The sequence below is a fragment of the Homo sapiens genome, chromosome 11 (genome assembly GCF_000001405.40).
Source record: "Homo sapiens chromosome 11, GRCh38.p14 Primary Assembly".
Classification (NCBI taxonomy): domain Eukaryota; kingdom Metazoa; phylum Chordata; class Mammalia; order Primates; family Hominidae; genus Homo; species Homo sapiens.
In genome coordinates this window covers 76,557,788-76,580,142 of record NC_000011.10, presented here as the reverse complement: position 1 = coordinate 76,580,142, position 22,355 = coordinate 76,557,788, and the positions used below count along the sequence as shown (strand labels likewise).

General features: G+C 43.1%; 1 annotated feature.

Moving 5' to 3' along the window:
* Window positions 410-1,102: an enhancer, noted in NCBI's record as "H3K4me1 hESC enhancer chr11:76290085-76290777 (GRCh37/hg19 assembly coordinates)". NCBI's record gives its function as "activates a minimal SCP1, AML or CMV promoter by ChIP-STARR-seq in naive H9 embryonic stem cells {active_cell/tissue: H9 hESC(naive)}" and the evidence as "EXISTENCE:reporter gene assay evidence [ECO:0000049][PMID:30033119]".

Genomic DNA, 22,355 nt, shown 5'->3' with positions numbered 1-22,355 from the left:
GAAGAACGGGAGCTCTGTGCGCAAGCAAGCCCCGGCTCATTTCACCACCCACCAGCCTCCAGGTGGGCCCTACCAATGCCAGCATGACGCCAAGTGCAGCCTTACAGCCACCTGTGTAAAATCAAGTCCTCGGTCTACCATTCCCTGGTTCTGAAACCTTGCACAGATCATGCCTGCCCCAAGTCTCAGTTTCTTCATCTGTAAAATGGGAAGTGATAATAGCCTCATAGCCTCACCTGCCTCAAAGGCTTATGGTGAGGGTCAAATGGGATTGTGTCTTTGGAAGAGCCTGGTGTGTACCAGGCACACAGTTGGCTCTCAGGAAATATTAGTCTTCTCTTCCCCAGTGTCCAAGAGCTCCTCAGGGAGACAGGAAGCCCAGCCATGCCTCCCAGTGGCGTGTAAGCCCGTCAAGGGCAGAGCTGTGTCATATGCTTCTTAACCCTTCCATGTATGGTCCCTGCAGCTGTCCCATCTGCATCACAATGTCTGAGGTGTGTGACCCCTGGGAAAGGGCAGCCTAACACCAAGGGAAAGCCAGTCCCCACTGGGAAAGCAGTGGGAGTCTCCACGCTCATATCAGGAAGCAAAGTCTTGACCCCAAGAAAGGAACTAAAAGGACAAATACCGGACTTCTCAGTGGGCAGCCAGCCATGTTCTTGTTCCCCTTCCCCCCTCTTCGGAGTCTGGCCCCATTGAGATTTGGGGATGTTTATTTTTTTTGTGTGGGAAAACGGAGTGGGATAAAATATTTCCTTGTGTCTGGAAAGCTATTTTGAGCCGGGCCAGCCGGGCAATGCTCGGGTGATGGGTGCTTGCTGACCCGGGCTGGGCCCTGGCCTTCCGGCCTCTTCCCTCCCAGGACCCAGAGTCCTGGCAGCAGACCGCCTACGGAGTCTGGATTCCAATCCTGGCCCAGTGACTCATCCTGGGGTGGTCTTGGGGAAGCCTGTGGTGTTCCCTGGACCTCTCTCCCAAAGGGGAGACTGAGGCCTGTGCTGCCCCCTCCTGGGGATTTTACAGGGAATCAGATCGTGGTAAGAACGTGCTGTAGAGATATTTCGCGTGTAGACAAACGACAGGGCTACCGCACAGCCTGTCCAGCTCAAGGTCCCACGAGTGGAAGGAGCCTTATGGAGGTCCCTCTGACCCCCATCTCCACTCAACGGCCATGTCCTTCCGAAGAGTTCATTTGATCCTCTCTCAAACTCGCCTGGCCCTTTAACGCGCTTCCTGCTGTCCCAGAAAGAAGTCAAACTCCCAGAAAGAAGTCAAACTCCACCCCTGATCTGTAGGCCCTCCCCAAGCTGGATGCTCCCTGCCCCCAGGCTCCTCTTTCTTTGTGCTGGGAAACCAGGCTGGCCTCTGTCCCCTCCTCACACTGCTGACTTGTCCCTCAGGAGTCTCCCGGGCTGCACCATATTTCATCCCCACAATGACGGCTCAATGCAAGTGCACCTCACAGGGCCAAGGGCTGGCCGGAAGCGATGCTTGCGAATGTGCCTGCCACACAATAGGACCTTAATAAATGTTGGCTTCTTCCTTCCTTACCAACACACACCCTCTTTTCTTTACAAAATCCTGATGGCATACAAATCCCCTCCAGCAGCTACTGAGGTTGGGCGGGCATGGCAGGAGGGGCAGGAAAGCTACTGAGTCAGCAAGATCCCTGGGATGAGAGACTTCCTAGAAGCCCTGCTCTCTAATCCTCCAGAGGTCTGAGCTCTTCACATCCTCAATAGGTATGGGGTTCTGTCTCCCACTAAGGGCTGGGAGAAGGGCAGGTCCCAGGGGGAGGCAGGAGGAGCTGGAGACTTCTTGATTCTGAAGGTGAGGCAGGTGCAGATGAAGCGGAGGGTCGCAGGGAAGAGAGGAAGTGCTCCCACCTAGGAGTTTCAGGACAGCCCCGTGGGGGCTGCGATGAAGGGAAGGAGGCATCCAGAGCCCTGGAAGTTTAGGAATGTCTGACCTGAAAGCCCATATGGCTCCTCCAGGCCCCAGCTCTTAAATGTGGCCCCAGGGCCAGCAGCATCAGACCCTGGAAGCTGGTTAGAAATGCAGACTCTCAGGCCCCGCCCCAGACCTGCTGAATCAGAATCCGTGGATTAACAAGGGCCCAGTGCTACGTGAGTACAACTAAGCCTGAGAAGCACTGTCGTGGCAGTTCCTCCGTTTTACAATAAAGAAGCCAAGGCTCTGAGAAGAGAGATCTACCCAGGGTCCGACACTGAGTCAGTGAGAGCTGAGCCCGGAGGCCCGGATTCCTGGCCTGGCCCTATTACCAACCGAGGTATCATCTGTGTGCTCTCAGAGCCTCAGTTTCCCCTGTGGGTCTTTGAGATGGGTTGAGGTAGCAATATAATCAGGTGATGCAATCAATCACATTTATGTTCTCACAGCTGCCTGGTGAAACAGGCAGGCCAACAGATATCATCCACAGTCTACAGATGGGGAAACGGAGGCCCATCAGGCAGTGGCTTTCCCAACATTACCAGCTTTAGCTGCTTTGCGTTGCCATGCACAGCTCAGGTGACTTGAAATTTGCCCTCTCAGTCCAGCCTTCCTGTCTAATGGTTCTTTCAGCTCCTGTCAGTTTTCAGGGGCCCTGGTTCGGCTGACAGCCAGCGAGCATGTCTGCTGCTGATGCTTGGATGCCCACATTCCTGGGCTGTGACTGGGAGCAGCACACCCAGAGCTCAGGCTGGGGGCACCCAGAGAGGTTCCGCTTGGCTGCACGCCCTGGGGCCTGGCTGTCTGGGGAGTGTCAGGAAGGCTGTCTCTAGAGGCTGATATGGCGGGGCTGGCTAGGGTATAGACTCAGCCAGGCCCCGAGGGAAGGCCTACCCCTGCATACTGGGGCAGGAAGGATGAGGGGGCAGGAATGAGCCAGGGGTCAGTGGCTTCCCAGGGAAGAGCTGTCTGAAAGACCTTAGGCTAGAACATCAGACCTGGCTAGATTTTTGTCCAAACTCTGTCACTTATTAGCTGTGACTGGGGACAAGTCACCCATCATCTCTGACCCTGTTTCTTCATCTGTAAAGTACTTAACACAGTTCTGGCACATACCTCGGGAGCCTGCAATGTAACTCTTAAGGAAGCTGAGACACTCCTGGTTCAGTCTCAGAGTCGCATCGTGTTTAAGAAGCACCCCTACACAGAAAAGCCCAGGAAGACACCATTCTTCGCTTGATTCTCTCGAAGAGAAAAATGAATCTAAATATGCAGTCCAGGCTGGGCGCGGTGGCTCTCGCCTGTAATCCCAGCACTTTGGGAGGCCGAAGTGGGTGGATCACCTGAGGTCAGGAGTTCGAGATCAGCTTGGCCAACATGGTGAAACCCTGTCTTTACTAAAAATCAGCCGGGTGTGATGGTGGGAGCCTGTAATCCCAGCTACTCGGGAGGCTGAGGCAGGAGAAACACTTGAACCTGGGAGGCAGAGGTTGCAGTGAGCTGAGATCACGCCACTGCACTCCAGCCTGGACGGCAGAGCAAGACTCCATCTCAAAAAAATAATAATAATAAATAAAATTAATATGCAGTCCATGCAGCACTGAGTCCACTTTCTCCTCCTGTCCACTTCTATCCTAGGTCTGGTTTGGCTCCTCTCTTCTCAGACTCCCTGAAAACCCCACCCCCAAGCTATTCAGCAACTTCTCATCATCTCCCTACTTTGCTCCTCTCACTTCCAATACTTTATCATGTGAATCCACTTGGCCTGTCATCCAGCAATAGAGAAATTAAAGGGGAAGACTGCTGGGTCCCTCATAGGACTGGCTGGGGGAGGACCAGCCTGTGTTAGTGACCTGTGTCTCATCCCAGTTACCGCTATTATTTACAAGTGTGACAGGACAAGACTTATTAATGTATGAGAATTCAAGCCTTCTTCTAACTAACCCCTGCCAACTGGCACATCTCCACCCTATTTCTTCTCTCCCTTCCCCATCTTTGCCCTTTATAGAGGGCCTTACAATGCTAGATAGGATCTTTTGGGGAATAAAGAATTGAGAATTGAGTTGGGGAGCAGAGAGGAACCAGATCAGAGGGCAGTAAGGAGGGAGAAGGACTTGGCAAAAGAGGTGAAGCCTGTTTGCTTTCTTAAGAATACAGGAGGGGCCAGGAGTGGTGGCTCATGCCTATAATCCCAGCACTTTAGGAGGCCGAGGAAGGCAGGTCACGTGAGGTCAGAAGTTCGAGACCAGCCTGGCCAACATGGCGAAACCCTGTCTCTACTAAAAATAAAAAAATCAGCTGGGCATGGTGGCGGGTGCCTGTAATCCTAGCTACTGGGGAGGCTGAGGCAGGAGTCAAGGACTCCAGTTCAAGGAGTCACTTGAACCTGGGAGGCGGAGGTTGCAGTGAGCAGAGATCACACCACTGCACTTCAGCCTGGGTGACACAGTGAGACTCCGTCTCAAAAAAAAAAAAAAAAAAAAAGAATACAGGAGGGAGAGTCAGGCATGGTGGCACACATCTGTAGTCTTAGCTACTCTGGAAGCTGAGACAGGAGGATTGCTTGAGCCCGGGAGTTGAAGACCAGCCTGGGCAAAATAGTGAGACCCCCATCTCTTAAAAAATAAAAAAATAAAAATAAATGAAAGAATGTAGGAGGGAGGTTTTACTACCACCCAAGATATAGGAAGCTAAAAAAAGCATTGCTCCCATCCCAGCAAGAAAAAGCCAGATAAACTACAAATCATAACTTTTCTTGAATCCATCAGAGATCTGAGGTCAGAGGACAACCAAATACCCTGAATTCCAAAGGGGGACAGGCACCTCCAAGGAGAGATGAGATCTAGGGATTGGGTCACTTGTAACAGAGCATAGGAAGAGGCACTGACCACCATACAGGTAGAGAAGAAAATAGCTTAAAGTTTAACAAAGGCTAAAAGCCAAGTGTTGGCTAGCTTGGCAGTCTAGAGTCCCAGAGGAAAGTTTTAGTATACTCTCAGGCCCTTTTCCTTGGGCTTTCATCAAGTACTGATGATCACAACTAGGGAAAGGCTGAGCGATTGTAGAGAGCAGCCTTGGGTAGTGCATATGTGCAGGGAGAGTTCAGAAATGACTACAGCAAAGACACACTGCCCTGTCTCCCTGCCCAAACCCTGCTCTCATATGGAAAAAATTAACCCCAATGTATGAGGGGAGAGGTAACAAACCCTGTTACCCTCAAGGGCATGGGCACAGGCAAGATTCCATTGCTGATAGGTGAAGGATAGAAGAAAAGGAAACTCTTCCAGGCCCAGAATCCTAAACAAATGCCACTAGAGACTTCTTACGAATGGAAGAGGGCCGGAAACCCTATCCAGTACAGACTCTGCACAGATATGAGGCAAACTTTGGCTTCCACTGGGAGGAGGGGCAGGAATCCTGAACAAACCTCCCTCTCCCCACCAAGGCCCAAGCACACAGGGCCTGCCTAACACTGAGACTGGGACACAGCAAAGAGAATGCCTCCCTGTCCCCACGATGAGCCTGGCAAGCATTTGTAACAAGCAAGATCAGTCTGCTACTGGGAGAAGAGCAAGAATGTGGAGAGGAAGCCCCTATGTGGTACAGGAGTACAGAGATGGCTGAAGCCTGAGATCACTGAGAAAAATCCTTCAGCATCTCATTTCCAGTCCTAAACCTGAGGCAATTCTAGAAGAATTCGAAGACTGCAAAACACTGAAGATAACCCTAGTAACAACAAAACCCAAACCCAACTCAACTCCTGACTAGATTGACTCAATTCCACACACTAATGATCTGACAGAACAGGAGACATGCCTTTTTCCAGGTGTAATAACTATTTATCTCAGTGTCTACTGCTCGACAATGTCTGACATTCAATCAAAAATAAAAACACACAAAAAAAGGCAAGAAACAAACAACCCATTGTCCAGAGACAAGGTAATCAATAAATCCAGATGCAGACATGATCCATATGTTGGAACTATCATAAGGGGACTTTAAACCAAATAGGAGTAATATGTTATAGAATCTAATAGAAAAAGTGGACAATATAATCACCGTACTGGAGATGAAAAATTCCTTCTGTGGCTTGTCAGAAGACTCAAAACAACTGAGGAATAAGTCAATGGACTTGAAGATGGTCAGTAGATATTACCCAAACTAAAAGAAAACAAGAGTAAAAACAAAGCAGCAACAACAATAAAACAGCACAGAGAATGCATGAGTTATGAGACAATATTTAACAGTCTAAATAAGTGGAATTGGATCCCAAGAAGGAGGAGAAAGAGAATGGGACACAAGACATATTAAGTAGATAATGGCTAGGAATTTTCCAAAAATAATGAAAAACATACACAGCAAACCACAGATCCAAGAAGCTAAGAGAACCCCAAGAAGAATAAATAACAAAACGAAAGCAAAAACCAACCAGAAAATCGACATATTTCATCCTCAGAAACATAATAGATAAACAAAAAAGAGAAGATCTTGAAGACCCCCAAGGAAAAAAAGAAGGTACATTGCTTAGAGAGGAACAAAGATCAGAGCTGTAGAAGAATTCTCATAAGTAATTACATAAACCAGAAGACAGTTAGGTGACATCTTCAAAGTACTGAAAGAGAAAACAATAACAAGAACTGTTACCCAAAAATATATTTCCAGTAAAAACTATCTTCCCAAAGCGAAGGCAAAATAAAGACCTTTTCAGATAAACAAAAGCTGAGAGACATCATTGCCAGAAGGCCTGAGCTGCAAGAAGTGTTAGAAGTTCAGGAAGAAGGAATACGATGCCAGACAAAATTTAGATATACACAGAAAAAATGAGTAGCTCTAGAGATTTTTTTTAATGAAGGTAAGTGGAAAGATTTTTTTTTTCTTCTAATTGCGCTAAAAGAAAATTGTCTAAAGCAAAAATTGTGACATTGTATTTTGGGGTTTGTAGTTTATATAAAGGTAAAATGTGTGACAGCAATAACATAAAAAAATGGTCAGGAGGAATTGAAAGTATATTGTTGCTGTAAAATGTTTACACCTGTGCGAAGGCATGTAATATTATGCATGTATATTATTTGAAGGTAGACTGTGACAAAGATGCATATTTTAAACTCTAGGAACCACACCCCCCACACCAATTTAAAAATAGGTATGAGTAGTAAGACAATGCTGGAGTGAAAATGGAATTTAAGAAATACTCCATCCAAATGAAGGCAGAAAAAAGAAAAGTGGAACAAAGAAAAGATGGAACAAACAGAAAAATACTAGCAAAGTGGTTGATTTAAATTCAGCTCTATTAATAATTACATTAAATGTAGATAGTCTAAACACACCAGTTAAAAAAGATTGTCAGATTAGAGAAAAAAGCGAGACACACTACTTGTCATCTACAAGAAACCCATTTTAATGTAAAGATATAGATAGGTTAAAAGTAAACAAATGGGGCTGGGCGCGGTGGCTCCAGCCTGTAATCTCAGCACTTTGGAAGGCTGAAGCGGGCAGGTCACTTGAGGTCAGGCGTTCGAGACCAGCCTGGCCAACATGGTGAAACCGCATCTCTACTAAACTGGTGCCTGTAATCCCAGCTATTTGGGAGGCTGAGGCAAGAGAATCGCTTGAACTTGGGAAATGGAGGTTGCAGTGAGCCCAGATCATGCCACTGCACTCCAGCCTGGGTGACAAAGTGAGACTTTGTCTCAAAAAAAAAAAAAAAAAAAGTAAACCAATGGGCCAGACAGGGTGGCTCACTCACACTTGTAATCCCAGCGCTTTGGAGGTAGAAGCGTTGCTTGAGCCCAGGAGTTCAAGACCAGCTTGGGAAACATGGTGAAACCCTGTCTCTACCAAAAAAATACCCGCATGATGCTGCATGCCTGTAGTTCCAGCTAGTCAGGAAGCTGAAGTGGGAGGGTCATCTGAGCCTGGGGAGGTTGAGGCTGCAGTGAGCTGTGATTGTGCCACTGCACTCCAGCGTGGGTGACAGAGTGAGACCCTGTCTCAAAAAAAAAAAGTAAAATAATGGGAAATAATATACTATTAAAACATTAATCAAAAGAAAGCCGAATCCTGAATCAAAGACTGGAGAAAGAAAAGTCAAAAAAAGAAGAAAAAATTAAAAAAAGAAGACAGCTGAAGCGGCCATATTAATATCAAACTAGATGCCAATCAAAGCAATAAGCAAAATCACAATGGTAGTAACCATCTGTGTAAACCTCACAAACATAATGTTGAGCAAAAGAAGCCAGGCACAAGTAAATACATATTGTATGATTCCTTTTTTATAAGGTACAAAGGCAGGCAAAACTACGTTAGGTTGTTAGAGGACACGATAGTGGTTACCATTTGGCAGGTCATAGTACTGACTGAAGAGGAGCTTTCAGGGTGCTGATAATGTTATCTTTCTTGATCTGAGTGCTGATAACATGGATGTGTTCAGTTTGTAAAGTTCATCGGGTCAGCGTTTTTCTATGTGAAAATTTCTGCAGTATATTATACTGTGAGAGAAAGTTTTTTTAAAAGACAGTGTTAAAATACACAGTAACAATAGCATGCAATTTAGGAGTGGAAGATAAATGTGTTTGAAGGTCCTTTTATTGCTCAAGAGGAGGATAAAGATATTTACTACATTAGGTTTTGGTAAATTAAGGATGATCTTTTAATTTCTAAGGAAAACACTAAGAAGATTAAAAAAGAGTATATGTCTTTCAAAGCAGTAGAGGGAAAGACTGAATGATACCAAATAAGTCAATGAAGGGGAGAAAGGGGAGAAAAATAAATAAAACAGATGGAATAAACAGAAAGCACAAAATAAGTGATAGATATAAATCCAATATGTCTGTATTTAAATTAAATGTAAATAGAGCAAATGCTCTAGTTCAAAGACAAGTTTTCTGTTCATCAAAAGGCCTTATAAAGAGTGAAAAGCAAACCATAAAGTAAGGGAAAATATTTGTGATACATACCATCGGAGAAAACCTATACCCAGAATGCATAAAGAAGTTCTAAGAAACAATAAGAAAAAGATAAGAGACAGGCAAAATCTTGAACAGGCACTTCATGAAAAGAAAAATCAGTTGGCCAGTAAATCCAGAAAAATAAACTCAACCTTAATAATAATTAGAAAAAGGGAAATTAAAAATACAATTACCCTCAAAATTATTTGTCATTAGGGGAATGCACATCAAAACAACAATGAGATTCCACTTATTAGAATGGCTGAAATCCAAAAACCTGACAATAACAAATACCAATGAGGATGCAGGGGAACAGGAACTCTCATTCATTGCTGGTGGGAATGCAAAATAGTATAGCTACTTTAAAAGACACTTTGACAGTTTCTTATAAAGTTAAACATAGACTTACCATATAACCCAGCAATCACACTCCCAAGTATTTATTCAAGTGAACTGAAAAGTTAGATAAACACAAAATCCTGCACGTGAATGTTTATAGCAGCTTTATTCATTATTGCCCCAAACAGAAAACAACCAAGATGGCCTGCTCCTTCAATAGGTGAATGGACAAACGGTGTGTATCGGTCGGGGTTCTCCAGAGAAACCGGAGGATCTATATCCTATTGGCTGTCTATCTATTGAAATAGGAAGAGATTGAAAGGAATTGGCTCACATGACTGTAGGGGCTGGCAAGTCGGAAATTTGTAGGGCAGGCCAACAGGCTGGAAACTCAGGAAGGAGCTGATGCTATAGTCTTGAGGCCAAATTTCTTCCTCTCTGGGAAATCTCAGATTTTGTTTTTAAGGCCGTCAACTGATTAGATGAGGCTACCCACATGATCAAAGGTAATCACCTTTAGTTAAAGTAAACTGAGTATAGATGTTAATCACATCTACAAAATACCTTCACAGAGACACATAAATTAGTGTTTGATTGAATAACTGGACATACAGCCTAGCCAAGTTGACACATAAAATTAACCATCACACTGTGGTACAATGGAATACTATGCAGTGATAAAGAGGAACTAGCTATTAATTCACAGAAAAATTATCAATGAATCTGAAATGTATTTTGCTAAGCGAAAGAAGCCAGACTTCAGAGGCCATTTATTGTATGATTTCATATATATGAAAATTCTGGAAAAAGAAAAACTAGAGAGATGAAATATATGCAAGCATGGTTTTTCATCTCTGGAAAGAGAAAAACTAGAAGGATGAATATGCAATCAAGTGTTTGCCAGGGGTTTGGGGAAGGGGAGTTGACTAAAAAGGGAAAATATTAGGAAATTTTTAGGGTGATTGAATTATTCTGTATGGTTCTGGAGTGGTGCATACATGATACAATACAATGGTCAAAACCTTAGAAATTTACAGCTCAAAAAATGAACTTTAATGAATGTAAAAAATTTTTTTGATACAGGGTCTTACTCTGCTGCCCAGGCTGGAGTACAGTGGCGCAATCACACTGCAGCCTCAACCTCCTAGACTCAGGTGATCCTCCCACCTCAGCCTCCCAAGTAGCTGGGACTACAAGTATGCACTACCACGCTTGCTAACTTTTGTATTTTTTGTAGAGACAGTGTTTGGTCATGTTCCCCAGGCTGGTCTCAAACTCCTGAGCTCAAGAGATCTGCCCACCTCCACTTCCCAAAGTGCTGGGATTACAGGCATGAACCACCACGCCTGGCCCAATGTGCGTATATTTTAAAAATCAATCAACCAGGAGGTCAGGGGCTCCTAGGATGGATTCAGACTGTGACAAAAGAATCTAACTGTGTTACAAATGTATGATATAACATTTGAAGGGGATAGAGAAGAAAGGAGCTGGCCTAAGTAACTTTGAAAAAACAATGTTAGCCGGAAACTGTAAGGCTAAACACAAAGGAATTATACATAGGCACTGTGTTCTAGTTGGTAAAGTTATTTCTCACAGGGATATGGCTTAACAATTCTGAAGCTACTGTGCATGTATACTGAGGTTGAACAAATAAATAAATGGATGCTGGATGATGGGAGTTAGATTTCTCACTGTTGGGGAGAGAAGTTACATATAAGTGAGAGGGGAAGGCTAGAGTGAACAGTAATATTGGATAGAGCAAGACACATCAGTATGGTTAACTTAATGTAGATACAGATGGATAGATACAGAAATAATTATAGATATGTATGTGTATCTATGGATTTGTATGTGCATATTTATTTCCTAGCTCTTTCCGCTAAGAGGGCCTAGGATCAACAACAGCCAGTAGCAGTGAGCACACTCAAGACTCAAATCTTGGTTTTTAACACCATTCTCCAATAAAAGGGACCAGGGCTACTTGGGGAAATGGCTGGTTCTAGAGCTGGGGCAGAAAAAAATATAAGGTAAGCCTTGAGAATATTATGGAGCCAGAAAATAAGGAAGTGCCAAAGATATAGGAGCCAATCTGAAAGAGTCTCCAATGGTCCAAGCTGGAACAATTTGAGCAACAAAATAATGTAGTGTTGTATTATAATCCAACGTGTAAAATAAATATTCCTAAGTCATATTAATATAAATAAGTGATTGAGTAAATAAATGGAGAGAAGAGACAAATCTCCCATACAGAAGAATTGCAAATAATTTACATAGATACTTCCCTCCTCCAGAAGGTGGGGCATAATCTTTTTCCACCTCAAGTGTGGAGTACGTTTAGTAATTTTCTTCCAAAGAGTAGAGTGTGGAAAGGATGGAGGGAGAGTAACTTTACAGTGGAAAAACCTGGCAAGCACTAGCTTGGCCAGATAATGAAGATTAACACCATCGTTGATAAGTCATGTGGATAGTATGTCCCCTTGATATGATATGATGAGAAGAGAACTTCACTTCTGTGGTTTTCTTCCACCAAACCCATCACCCAAGTCTAACCACGAGGAAAACGTCAGACAACCCAAATTGAGAGACAATCTTCAAAATACCTGACAAGTATTCCCCAAAACTGTCAAGGTCATGAGAAACTAGAAAAGACTGAGAAACTGTCACAGACAAGAGAAGATGAAGGAGACGTGATGACTAAGTGGAATGTGGCATAGTGGGTGGGATCCTGGACTAGAAGAAAGAACATTCATGGAAAAATTAGTAAAGTCCAAGTAAAGTGTGCAGTTTGGTTAACAGTAATGTAGAAAAGTTGCTTTCTCAGTTGTGACAAATATATCATAATAATGTAAAGATTTTAACAATAGGAGAAACTGGCTGAGGGGTATACAGGACTTCCCATACCATTCTGGCAATTTTTCTCTAAATTTAAAACTATGCTAAAATTTCACTTATTTTGTTGAAAATATGATTACCTATCATATTGCAAAAATTATGTAGTATAAAATTATCAATTGTTAACCAAGGTGGGGAGCACACAGTGCTAATGGGATTGTAAATTAATCAATTACTTAAGAAACATATATATATATATATATATATATTACATATTAAGATACAAAAGTATCTTGTGAACATAATATTAAGAGGAAAAAAAGCAAATCATGGAAGAATGCATTTATTATAACTCCATTTATATAAAGTTTAAAAACTGAATAAGATATTATCTAGCTGTACAGAAGTAGATGGTAAACTATTTTTTGAAGCAAGGGATGATTATAACAAAAATCAAGAGAGTGGTTTTGTTTTAGAAGACAGGAGGTTGCTCACTGCAACCTCCACCTCCAGGGTTCAAGCAGTTGTCCTGCCTTAGCCTCCTGAGCAGCTGAGACTACAGGCATGCACCAACATGCCTGGCTAATTTTTGTAATTTTCGTGGAGACGGGGTTCACCATATTGGCCAGACTGGTCTCGAACTTCTGACCTCAGGAGATCCACCTGCCTTGGCCTCCCAAAGTGCTGGGATTACAGATGTGAGTCACCATGCCCAGACTAATGTCCTATTTCTTAACTTAGGTGGTGGTTACATGGATGTTTGATTTATAGCTGTTCTTTAAAGAGCACATATATGTTTTACACACTCTTCTGTATATATTAATTTCTAAATTTAAAAATTATTAAATAAGAGTGCGGAAACATCCATTCCTACCACCCAAGGCTGTTTCTAAGCATTTTATTTAGCCTGCTGACCTTCAGAGAGCAGCCAGTCCTGCCCTCCTGCAGTCCCACAGCTGCTGGAGGCAATGTTGGTTTCATTTAGGCATGACTTTCACCCACTCCTGCTAACCTTCATACCTAGCTCCCTGCTGCTACTATTTCTACCCTCAATGCATACCTCTAGTAATTCTCTCTGGCCTGGATGGCTCTGCTTTAGTCAACAGTCATGTGCCAGGAAGTGTTCTATGAACTGTGGTTACAGCAAGGGAAAGAAAAGAAACCCTGTCTTCAGCAAGTTTACATCATGTTGATGATGTTGATGACAAGGATTGCCGTCCTTATGTTGTATATCATTGTAGCTTTGAATTGCATTTCTCTGATGGTTAATGATGGTACACATATTTTCTTTTTTTTAAATTATACTTTAAGTTCTAGGGTACATGTGCACAACGTGCAGGTTTGTTACATATGTATACATGTGCCGTGTTTGTTTGCTGCACCCATTAACTAGTCATTTACATTAGATAGTTCTCCTAATGTTATCCCTACCCCATCGCCCTACCCCCCGACAGGCCCCACTGTGTGATGTTCCCCACCCTGTGTCCAAGTGTTCTCATTGTTCAATTCCCACCTATGAGTGAGAACATGCAGTGTTTGGTTTTCTGTCCTTGTGATAGTTTGCTCAGAATGATGGCTTCCAGCTTCATCCATGTCACTGCAAAGGAGATTAACTCATCCTTTTTTATGGCTGCATAGTATTCCATGGTGTATATGTGCCACATTTTCTTAATCCAGTCTATCATTGATGGACATTTGGGTTGGTTCCAAGTCTTTGCTATTGTGAATAGTGCTGCAATAAACATACGTGTGCATGTGTCTTTACAGTAGCATGATTTATAATCCTTTGGGTATATACCCAGTAATGGAATCGCTGGGTCAAATGGTATTTCTAGTTCTAGATCCTTGAGGAATTGCCACACTGTCTTCCACAATGGTTGAACTAGTTTACACTCCCACCAACAGTGTAAAAGCATTCCTATTTCTCCACATCCTCTCCAGCACCTGTTGTGTCCTGACTTTTTAATGATCGCCATTCTAACTGGTGTGAGATGGTATCTGATTGTGGTTTTGATTTGCATTTTTCTCATGACCAGTGATGATTAGCATTTTTTCATGTGTCTGTTGGCTGCATAAATGTCTTATTTTGAAAAGTGTCTGTTCATAACCTTTGCCCACTTTTTGATGGGGTTGTTTGATTTTTTCTTGTAAATTTGTTAAGTTCTTTGTAGATTCTGGATATTAGCCCTTTGTCAGATGGGTAGATTGCAAACATTTTCTCCCATTCTGTAGGTTGCCTGTTCACTCTCATGGTAGTTTCTTTTGCTGTGCAGAAGCTCTTTAGTTTAATTAGATCCCATTTGTCTATTTTGGCTTTTGTTGCCATTGCTTTTGGTGTTTTAGTCATGAAGTCCTTGCCCATGACTATGTCTTGAATGGTATTGCCTAGGTTTTCTTCTAGGGTTTTTATGGTTTTAGGTCTGACATTTAAGTCTTTAATCCATCTTGAATTGATTTTTGTATAAGGTATAAGTAAGGGATCCAGTTTCAGTTTTCTACATATGGCTAGCCAGTTTTCCCAGCACCATTTATTAAATAGGGAATCTTTTCCCCATTTCTTGTTTTTGTCAGGTTTGTCAAAGATCAGATGGTTGTATATGTGTTATTTCTGAGGCCTCTGTTCTGTTCCATTGGTCTATATCTCTGTTTTGGTACCAGTACCAGGCTGTTTTGGTTACTGTAGCCTTGTAGTATAGTTTGAAGTCAGGTAGTGTGATGCCTCCAGCTTTGTTCTTTTTGCTTAGGAATGTCTTGGCAATGCAGGCTCTTTTTTTGGTTCCATATGAACTTTAAAGTAGTTTTTTCCAATTCTGTGAAGAAAGTCATTGGTAGCTTGATGGTGATGGCATTGAATCTATGAATTACCTTGGACAGTATGGCCATTTTCATGATATTGATTCTTCCTATCCATGAGTGTGGAATGTTCTTCCGTTTGTTTGTGTCCTCTTTTATTTCATTGAGCAGTGGTTTATAGTTCTCCTTGAAGAGGTCCTTCACATACCTTGTAAGTTGGATTCCTAGGTATTTTATTCTCTTTGTAGCAATTGTGAATGGGAGTTCACTCATGATTTGGCTCTCTGTCTGTTATTGGTGTATAGGAATGCTTGTGATTTTTGCACATTGATTTTTTATCGTGAGACTTTGCTGAAGTTGCTCATCAGCTTAAGGAGATTTTGGGCTGAGACGATGGGGTTTTCTAAATATACAATCATGTCATCTGCAAACAGGGACAATTTGACTTCCTCTTTTCCTAACTGAATACGCTTTCTTTCTTTTTCTTGCCTGATTGCCCTGGCATGTGCTCACGTTGTGTCTCTGTGTCACATTTTGATAACTCTCCCAATGTTTCAAACTTTTTCATTATTATTATATGTGTTATGTTAATCTGTGACCAGTGATCTTTGATACTACCACTATAATTGTTTTAGACTGCCACAGAGCACACCCATATGACAGCTAACTTAATCAGTAAATGTATGTGTTCTGACTGCTCCACCAACTGGCCGTTTCCCCATCTCTCTCCTTCTCCTCCAGCATTCCTGTTCCCAGAGACACAACAATATTGAAATTAGGCCAATTAATAACCCTTCAGTGGCCTCTAAGTGTTCAAGTGAAAGGAAGAGTTGCACATCTTTCAATTTAAGTCGAAAGCTCGAAATTATTAAGCTTAGTGAGGAAGGCATGCTGAAAGCTGATACAGGCTGAAAGCTAGGCCTCTTGCACCAGTTAGCCAAGTAGTGACTGCAAAGGAAAAGTTCTGGAGGGAAATTAAACGTGCTACTCCAGTGAACACACAAATAATAAGAAAGCAAAACAACCTTATTGCTAATGCGGAGAAAGTTTCAGCAGTCTGGATAAAAGATCAAACCAGCCACAACTTTCCTTCATCCAAAACCTAATCCAGATCAAGGCCTAACTCTCTTCAATTCTATGAAGGTTGAGAGAGGTAAGGAAGCTACAGAATAAAAGTCTGAAGTTAGCAGAGGCTGGTTCATGAGGTTTAAGGAAAGAAGCAATCTATGGGACATAAAAGTGCAAGGTGAAGGAGCAAGTGCTGTTGGAGAAGCTGCAGCAAGTTATCCAGTAGATCTGGCTAAGATCGTTGTTGAAGGTGGCTACACTAAACACCAGATTTTCAGTGTAGACAAAACAGCCTTCTGTTGGAAGAAGATGTAATTTAGGACTTTCATAGCTAGGAAAGAGAAGTCAATACGTGGCTTCAAAGCTTCAAAGGACAGGCTGACTCTCTTGTTAGGGACTAATGCAGTTGCTGATTTTAAGTTGAAGCCAATGCCCATTTGCAATTCTGAAAACCCTAATGCTCTTAAGAATGATGCTAAATCTACTCTGCCTGTGCTCTATCAATGGAACAACAAAGTCTGGATGACAGCACATCTGTTTTCATCATGGCTCACTGAATGTTTTAAGCCACTATTGAGACCTACTGCTAAGAAAAAAAAATATTCCTTTCAAAATATTACTGTTCATTGACAATGCACCTAGTCACCCAAGAGCTCTGATGAACATGTACAAGATTGTTTTCATGCCTGCCAACGCAACATCCATTCTACAGTCCATAAAGCAAGGAGTAATTTCAACTTTCAAGTCTTATTATTTACAAAATACATTTTGTAAGGGTATAATAGCTACCACAGATAGTGAGTCCTCTGATGGATCTGGGCAAAGTCAATTAAGAACCTTCCTGAAAGGAACATTATTCTAGATGCCATTTAGAACATTTGTGATCCATGTGAGGAGGTCAAAATATCAACATTAACACGAGTTTGGAAGAAGTGGGTTCCAGTCTTCATGGATGACTTTGAGGAGTTCAAGACTTCAGTGGAAGAAGTCCACTTCAGTAAATGAAGTCTAGAGATTTCATCTCTAGAAATTTGATCTGAGTCTTTTTTTTTATATCTTCCATGTCTCCACTTAACTTTTGAACATATATAATGCAGCTATAATAAATGTGCTAATGTTCTTGCCTGCCAGTTTTTACATCTGTGTCAATCCTGGGCCAGTTTTAATTGATTTGCAAGCCTGTTAATTTTTTATTTGATGATAGTAATTATGAATATTACCTTGCTGAGTGTTGGACATTTTTGTATTACTATAAATATTCTTGCACTTTGTTCTGAGATGCAGTTAAGTCACTTGGAAACAGTTTGATCATTTTGGTATTTCTTTTAAGATTTGTTAGGAAGGACTAGAGCAGCAGTTAGTCTAGGGCTTACTATTCCCCACTACTGAGGCAAAACCCTTCAGAGTACGTACTCAATGTCTTGTGAAGCATGAGGTTTTCCAGACTGACTGGTCGGAAGAGGCACTATTCTGGCCCTGTGTGAGCACTAGCTATGATTTCCTCTAGTTCCGGTGGTGCTTCCCTTAGCCTTGTATATTTCTTCACAAGCATGCATGGATCACTGCAAATCTCAGGAGTTCTCTGTGAAGTTCTCTCCTTTACTACTTTGCCCTGGACATTCTAACTACCTTGGTCTCTCTGGACTCTTAGTCCAGTTTTCTCAATTCAGAGAGCCCAGCAGGCTCTACTTGGGTTCTCTTCCCTACGCTCTTCCCTATGATGCCCTCTTGTGCTAGGGCAATCATAGACTTCTTCACCCTGCTTCTTTCCCATCTTCTGGCTGCTGTTGCTTGAGGCCCAGTGTCTTGAAAACCACAGTGTCATATAGTGGTGGTGGTGTTGTTATTGTTATGGCTGTTTCAGGCACATGAGAAAAATCCAGTCACTATTGCTCCATATTGCCCAGAAACAGAAGACTATGGCCTGAGGGGTCATCTTGAAGCCTGTTTCTAGGTTGGTGTATTCTAGAAGAGAGGGAGACGGAGGAGGAGGAGAAAAGTGAGACAAGAGGGAAGCGAGAGGGAGAAGGAAAGATGATGCCACAGAGAAGGGAAATAATATCAAGAGGGAAATCTTGAGAGGGCTGTAAGGATGCGATCTAGGCCCCTCATGGAGGGTCTGAATTCACCAGGAACTGGAATACTTCTCCACTGTGATGAGAGGAAAGTCAGGTATATGGGTTCAGATGTAACTTAGTAGAAAGAGTGGTTGGGAGAAGTGCCTTAATTTGGCCTCCTCCAGCAGACCCTGAGACAAGGAGTTGAGTGCAAGTCATTCCTTTAGGAAGGGATCCCAGGAACTACTATTATGGGAGTGGGGAAGTGAGACATTATCAAGCATGTCACCACGGTGAGTAACTGAGGCTTAATGTGGGGGAAAATGCCACGGAGTTATCCTAAATTAGGAGAGCTCGATTATTTTACATCAGCTTCCATTAGCCCTTGGTTGACTGAGGGGCATTAATTTCCCAGCACTTCAGCGCCTTGTACAGGGCAAAGTAGCCCCAGTGGTCAGAGAAAGGCATCAGGCAGAGAAGCAGATGCTGGCAGATCAAGTCCAGCCAGCCTGCCCCCAAATGAGAAGGGGTGAAGGTGGGGCAGCTACAGCATCTCAGCACGTGCTGCAGGGACCGCTGCTGCTTGTGACACAATATTTCACCCATACAATATGATGCCAGGGCTTCATGGGTACAGGGAGATGGAGCAGAGAGGAAACGTTGGTCTCTGCCAGGGTGTCCCAAGTGAGACTACATGGGCCTCACGTGCTACAGCTGTTGCTAATCAGCCTTTCCTGTTAACACAGGCACGCACATGTGTGCACACACACAATTATTTTCCCCACAGCACTCCCACGGCCTTGAGAGTCCACAAGGCTGTATACGGCACAGAGCACAGATATAAGGGGAGACAGCAGAAAGGGATGAGAAGCGCACTAGACACAGAGCCATGAGCTCTGCCTCCACCTCCTGGGAACCCTGTGATGTCAGGAATTGGTGTCCCAGTCGGTAAAAGGGTGCTAACTTACCTCCTAGGATTATTGTGAGAATGAAGAGAAATAGGTGACCATTTTATAAACTTTAGAGGAATTATTATCACCAGAGACCACCTGGTACATGTAAGAAGCCCCAGAGAAAGATAAGCTTCCCAGTAAAATCCACTCAAGATCACAAGAAAACCTCTGGGAGGTCAACTTGATACAGAAAGATTTGATATGGAAAGGGTGGTCTGTGGTCTGGTCGCACCAGCATTGCCCAGGTTCTTGTTAAAAATGCAGAACTCCGATCCCAGCCCACAGAGGAATCTGAGTCTACTGGATCGGAACCTGTATTTTAACAAGATCCCTAGGGGACTCTGGTGCACTTGAAGCCTGGGACTCACTGGCCCTGTGCTTGGGGTCTGGGCCTGCCTCTTTCCCTGACTTACCCCTCTGATTTCTGGGGGCAGCTCAGCTCCCTCCACCGTACAGTTAGGGCTGTGGTCCGGATCTGCTCCAGGGAGAGGCCAGCAAAGCTCTGTATTCTCATTGCTGAGCTGAAAAATTATTATAACTATGCTCATCATAATGATTCTGAAGAAACGAGATGGTAGAATCATACTGAGGAAAGTATGATAATACATTTCTGAAATTTACCATCAAAAATAGTTAAAATTAACAACAATAACAACAACAATAATGTCCTGTTGCTTGATTTATTTGAACGGCAGCAATCCGGAAAAGTCGTCAGTGCACAATGACTCATTCCCTGAGGGTTCTGAATAAGATTCTAAAATCACCACCCATGGTTTTCCTGCACTTTGAAGTGACAGAACAAATGACAGCAGAGATGGGCACTGTCTCCTGAGTCCAGAATGGATGACACACACGCGTCTCACAACAATAACATCCTCATCTAAAAACAGCCTGAAAGGAGGTTATTTCTGGGCTTTGCTTGTTAGTAAGCATTTGTGCACCTGTGGGCAGAGACCTAAGACCAAGATGGTTTGGGTTTTTTTTCTATATAGTCAATCAACAAACTTATTGATGCCTTTTCCATGCCAGGGCCTGTTCTAAGGACATGAGATTAATTCAACCCTCAGAGGAAAACCCTCACAGAGCAAAAATTGGGATAACAAATGAGAAAAGCCATAAATGAGAGACAGATGAGGAGGCTAAGGGAGAAAGACTCTGGGGAAGTGTCCCAAGAGGTGACCACGGAGATGATGGGTGAGAGGGAAGTGCACTGCATGACGAGGGAAGAGCCGGCACAAGGCCCGGAGGTGGAAGCAGCTTGCAGGGTTCTTCTGGCAGAACAACAATCTAATGCTATGGAAGAAAAATTCAAGACAAGTAGCCTTTTGGATTACATAACAACCTATGGGAAACTCCACAACCCCTGACAATGCTTTGTTGGCATCTGGGAGTGTAACAGCCTCTAGATGACTGCTCTGAGCTCACCGCCCCCAGTCACCTCCCAACCCAAGCTCAGTGTCCCTCCCCACCATTGATGCTTTGCCTGTCTCATTCTTCCCCACCTTTCTCCACATGATAAATTACCCATCTTCCAGCCTCAGCTCTGGAATTGCCTTTTTCTTGATGCTTCCACCTTACTGAAAAAACTGACCCTTCCTCTTCTCAGCATGAATGGGCTGCCAAGGATAGGGAGTAACAAGCAGAGAGAGTAAGTTGAAAGGAAAGGGGTTGATCTTTGTTTGGGACAACTTGAGGCTGACGTACTTTTAGAAAAATTCAGTCAGGGATGTCCCAAGGAAGTAAGTTTTGGCTCAAAGAAGAGAGCAATTGCAGATGTGTATTTGAGAGCCATCATAAAATTGAAGCAAATGCATTTACCTACCTACCTGCTTCTTCCTCTTCTAACAGATGAACCCAGCACCTCTACTAGATTCTGTCCCCTCCCATTATTCAAGGACAGTGCAACAGCAATTCTCTCCTCTCCTGCATCACAAACTTTCTCCTCTCCATTGGATCAATCCCATCAGGAATCCCAATTTCTTACATTAAACAAACAATTCTTGATCCCACTTCCCTTTCCAGCAACTGCCCCATTTCTCTGCTCCTCTTTACAGTGACTCATGAAATTATTTGTACTCTTGGTCTCCAATTCTCTCCTCCCATTCTCCTCCAACTCCACCAAAACTGCTTTTCCCAAGATTGCCAATGACTTCCACATGGCAAATTCCATGAGTCCTCATGTTACTTGACTTAGCAGCAAAAACACTGTCTTTACCTATTTCTGAGACACCACAATCTCCAACTTTACCTCCCATCCTCTGGCTACTTCTGCTCGGTCTTTTCTGGTTCTGCCTCATCTTCCTGACCCCCAGGTCCTTACCACCCCAAGGCTCAGTCCTGAGACCTCTTTTCTTTTCTGTCTACTTGACTTCTCTCCTTGATATCTAGTGGCATCTTGAATTTAATATATCCAAAACTGAGCCCTTGATATTCTACTCTCCAAATTAGATCTTCCCAGTCTTTCTCATCTCAGTTAATAGCCATTCTCTTCTTCCAAGGTGTTCAGAACAAAAACCTTGGCATTAATAGTAACGTCAGCAAAATGGCAGGGTAGGCAGCTTCACAGAAATACCAAAAAACAAGCAGAAACTGTCAGAACCAACTTTGTCAGAACTCCAGAAAACAGTCAAAGGTTTACAGCAACAACTGAACACTGAATCAAGAAGAGGGCAACTCCTGACTGCAGGGTGATTACCAGGGACTGGGGCAGGCAGGAATGAGGAGTTATTGTTTAAAGAAGTTTGTCTGGGTTGATTAAAAAGTTCTGGAGATGGACACTGGTGATGGTTGCACCACAACATGAATGCGCTTCATGTCACTGAACTGTACACTTATTAATGAAAATAACTAAAATGGTAAACTTTATTATGTATATTTTACCACAATAAAAAAATATGATACAGGCAAGCTGTGTGGCATTACTACTCCTTGCCCTGGTCCCGGCTTGGCAGCAGTCTTAAAGACGTCAGCCCACGTTCTATCGTGGATCCTGGTCCCTCTTTCTAGAAGGGGCAGAGGAGACATCATTCTCAAATTATTGTGTAGGTCTGCTCTAATCTGTCTCAGGGCTATTCAAAGGACTGATGCAAGACAGTCTGCTTTGCTTAAGGCAGAATGTACCCAGGCCAGAAAAGTAGCAGACAGTACTCTATAAACATTATAAGGCTGACAAACAAAAACAAAAACAAAAACAAAAAAAACCTGCAGATGCCTGAAGCAAAAGATTACATTTTGGCTGCAACATATAATAGACTGCTGAAAGCCTAGAAGAAAAAGCCAAGGAGAGTGTTTCTTTGGGAAATTAAAGGACTCCAAAGCACTCTTGTATATGGAGGAATTTAGAAAGCTTTGTCAAAGACCTCAAACTTTCACTTCAGGTTGGTCCGTAGGTTCAGTGGAAGTCTGCGTAAGTGTTG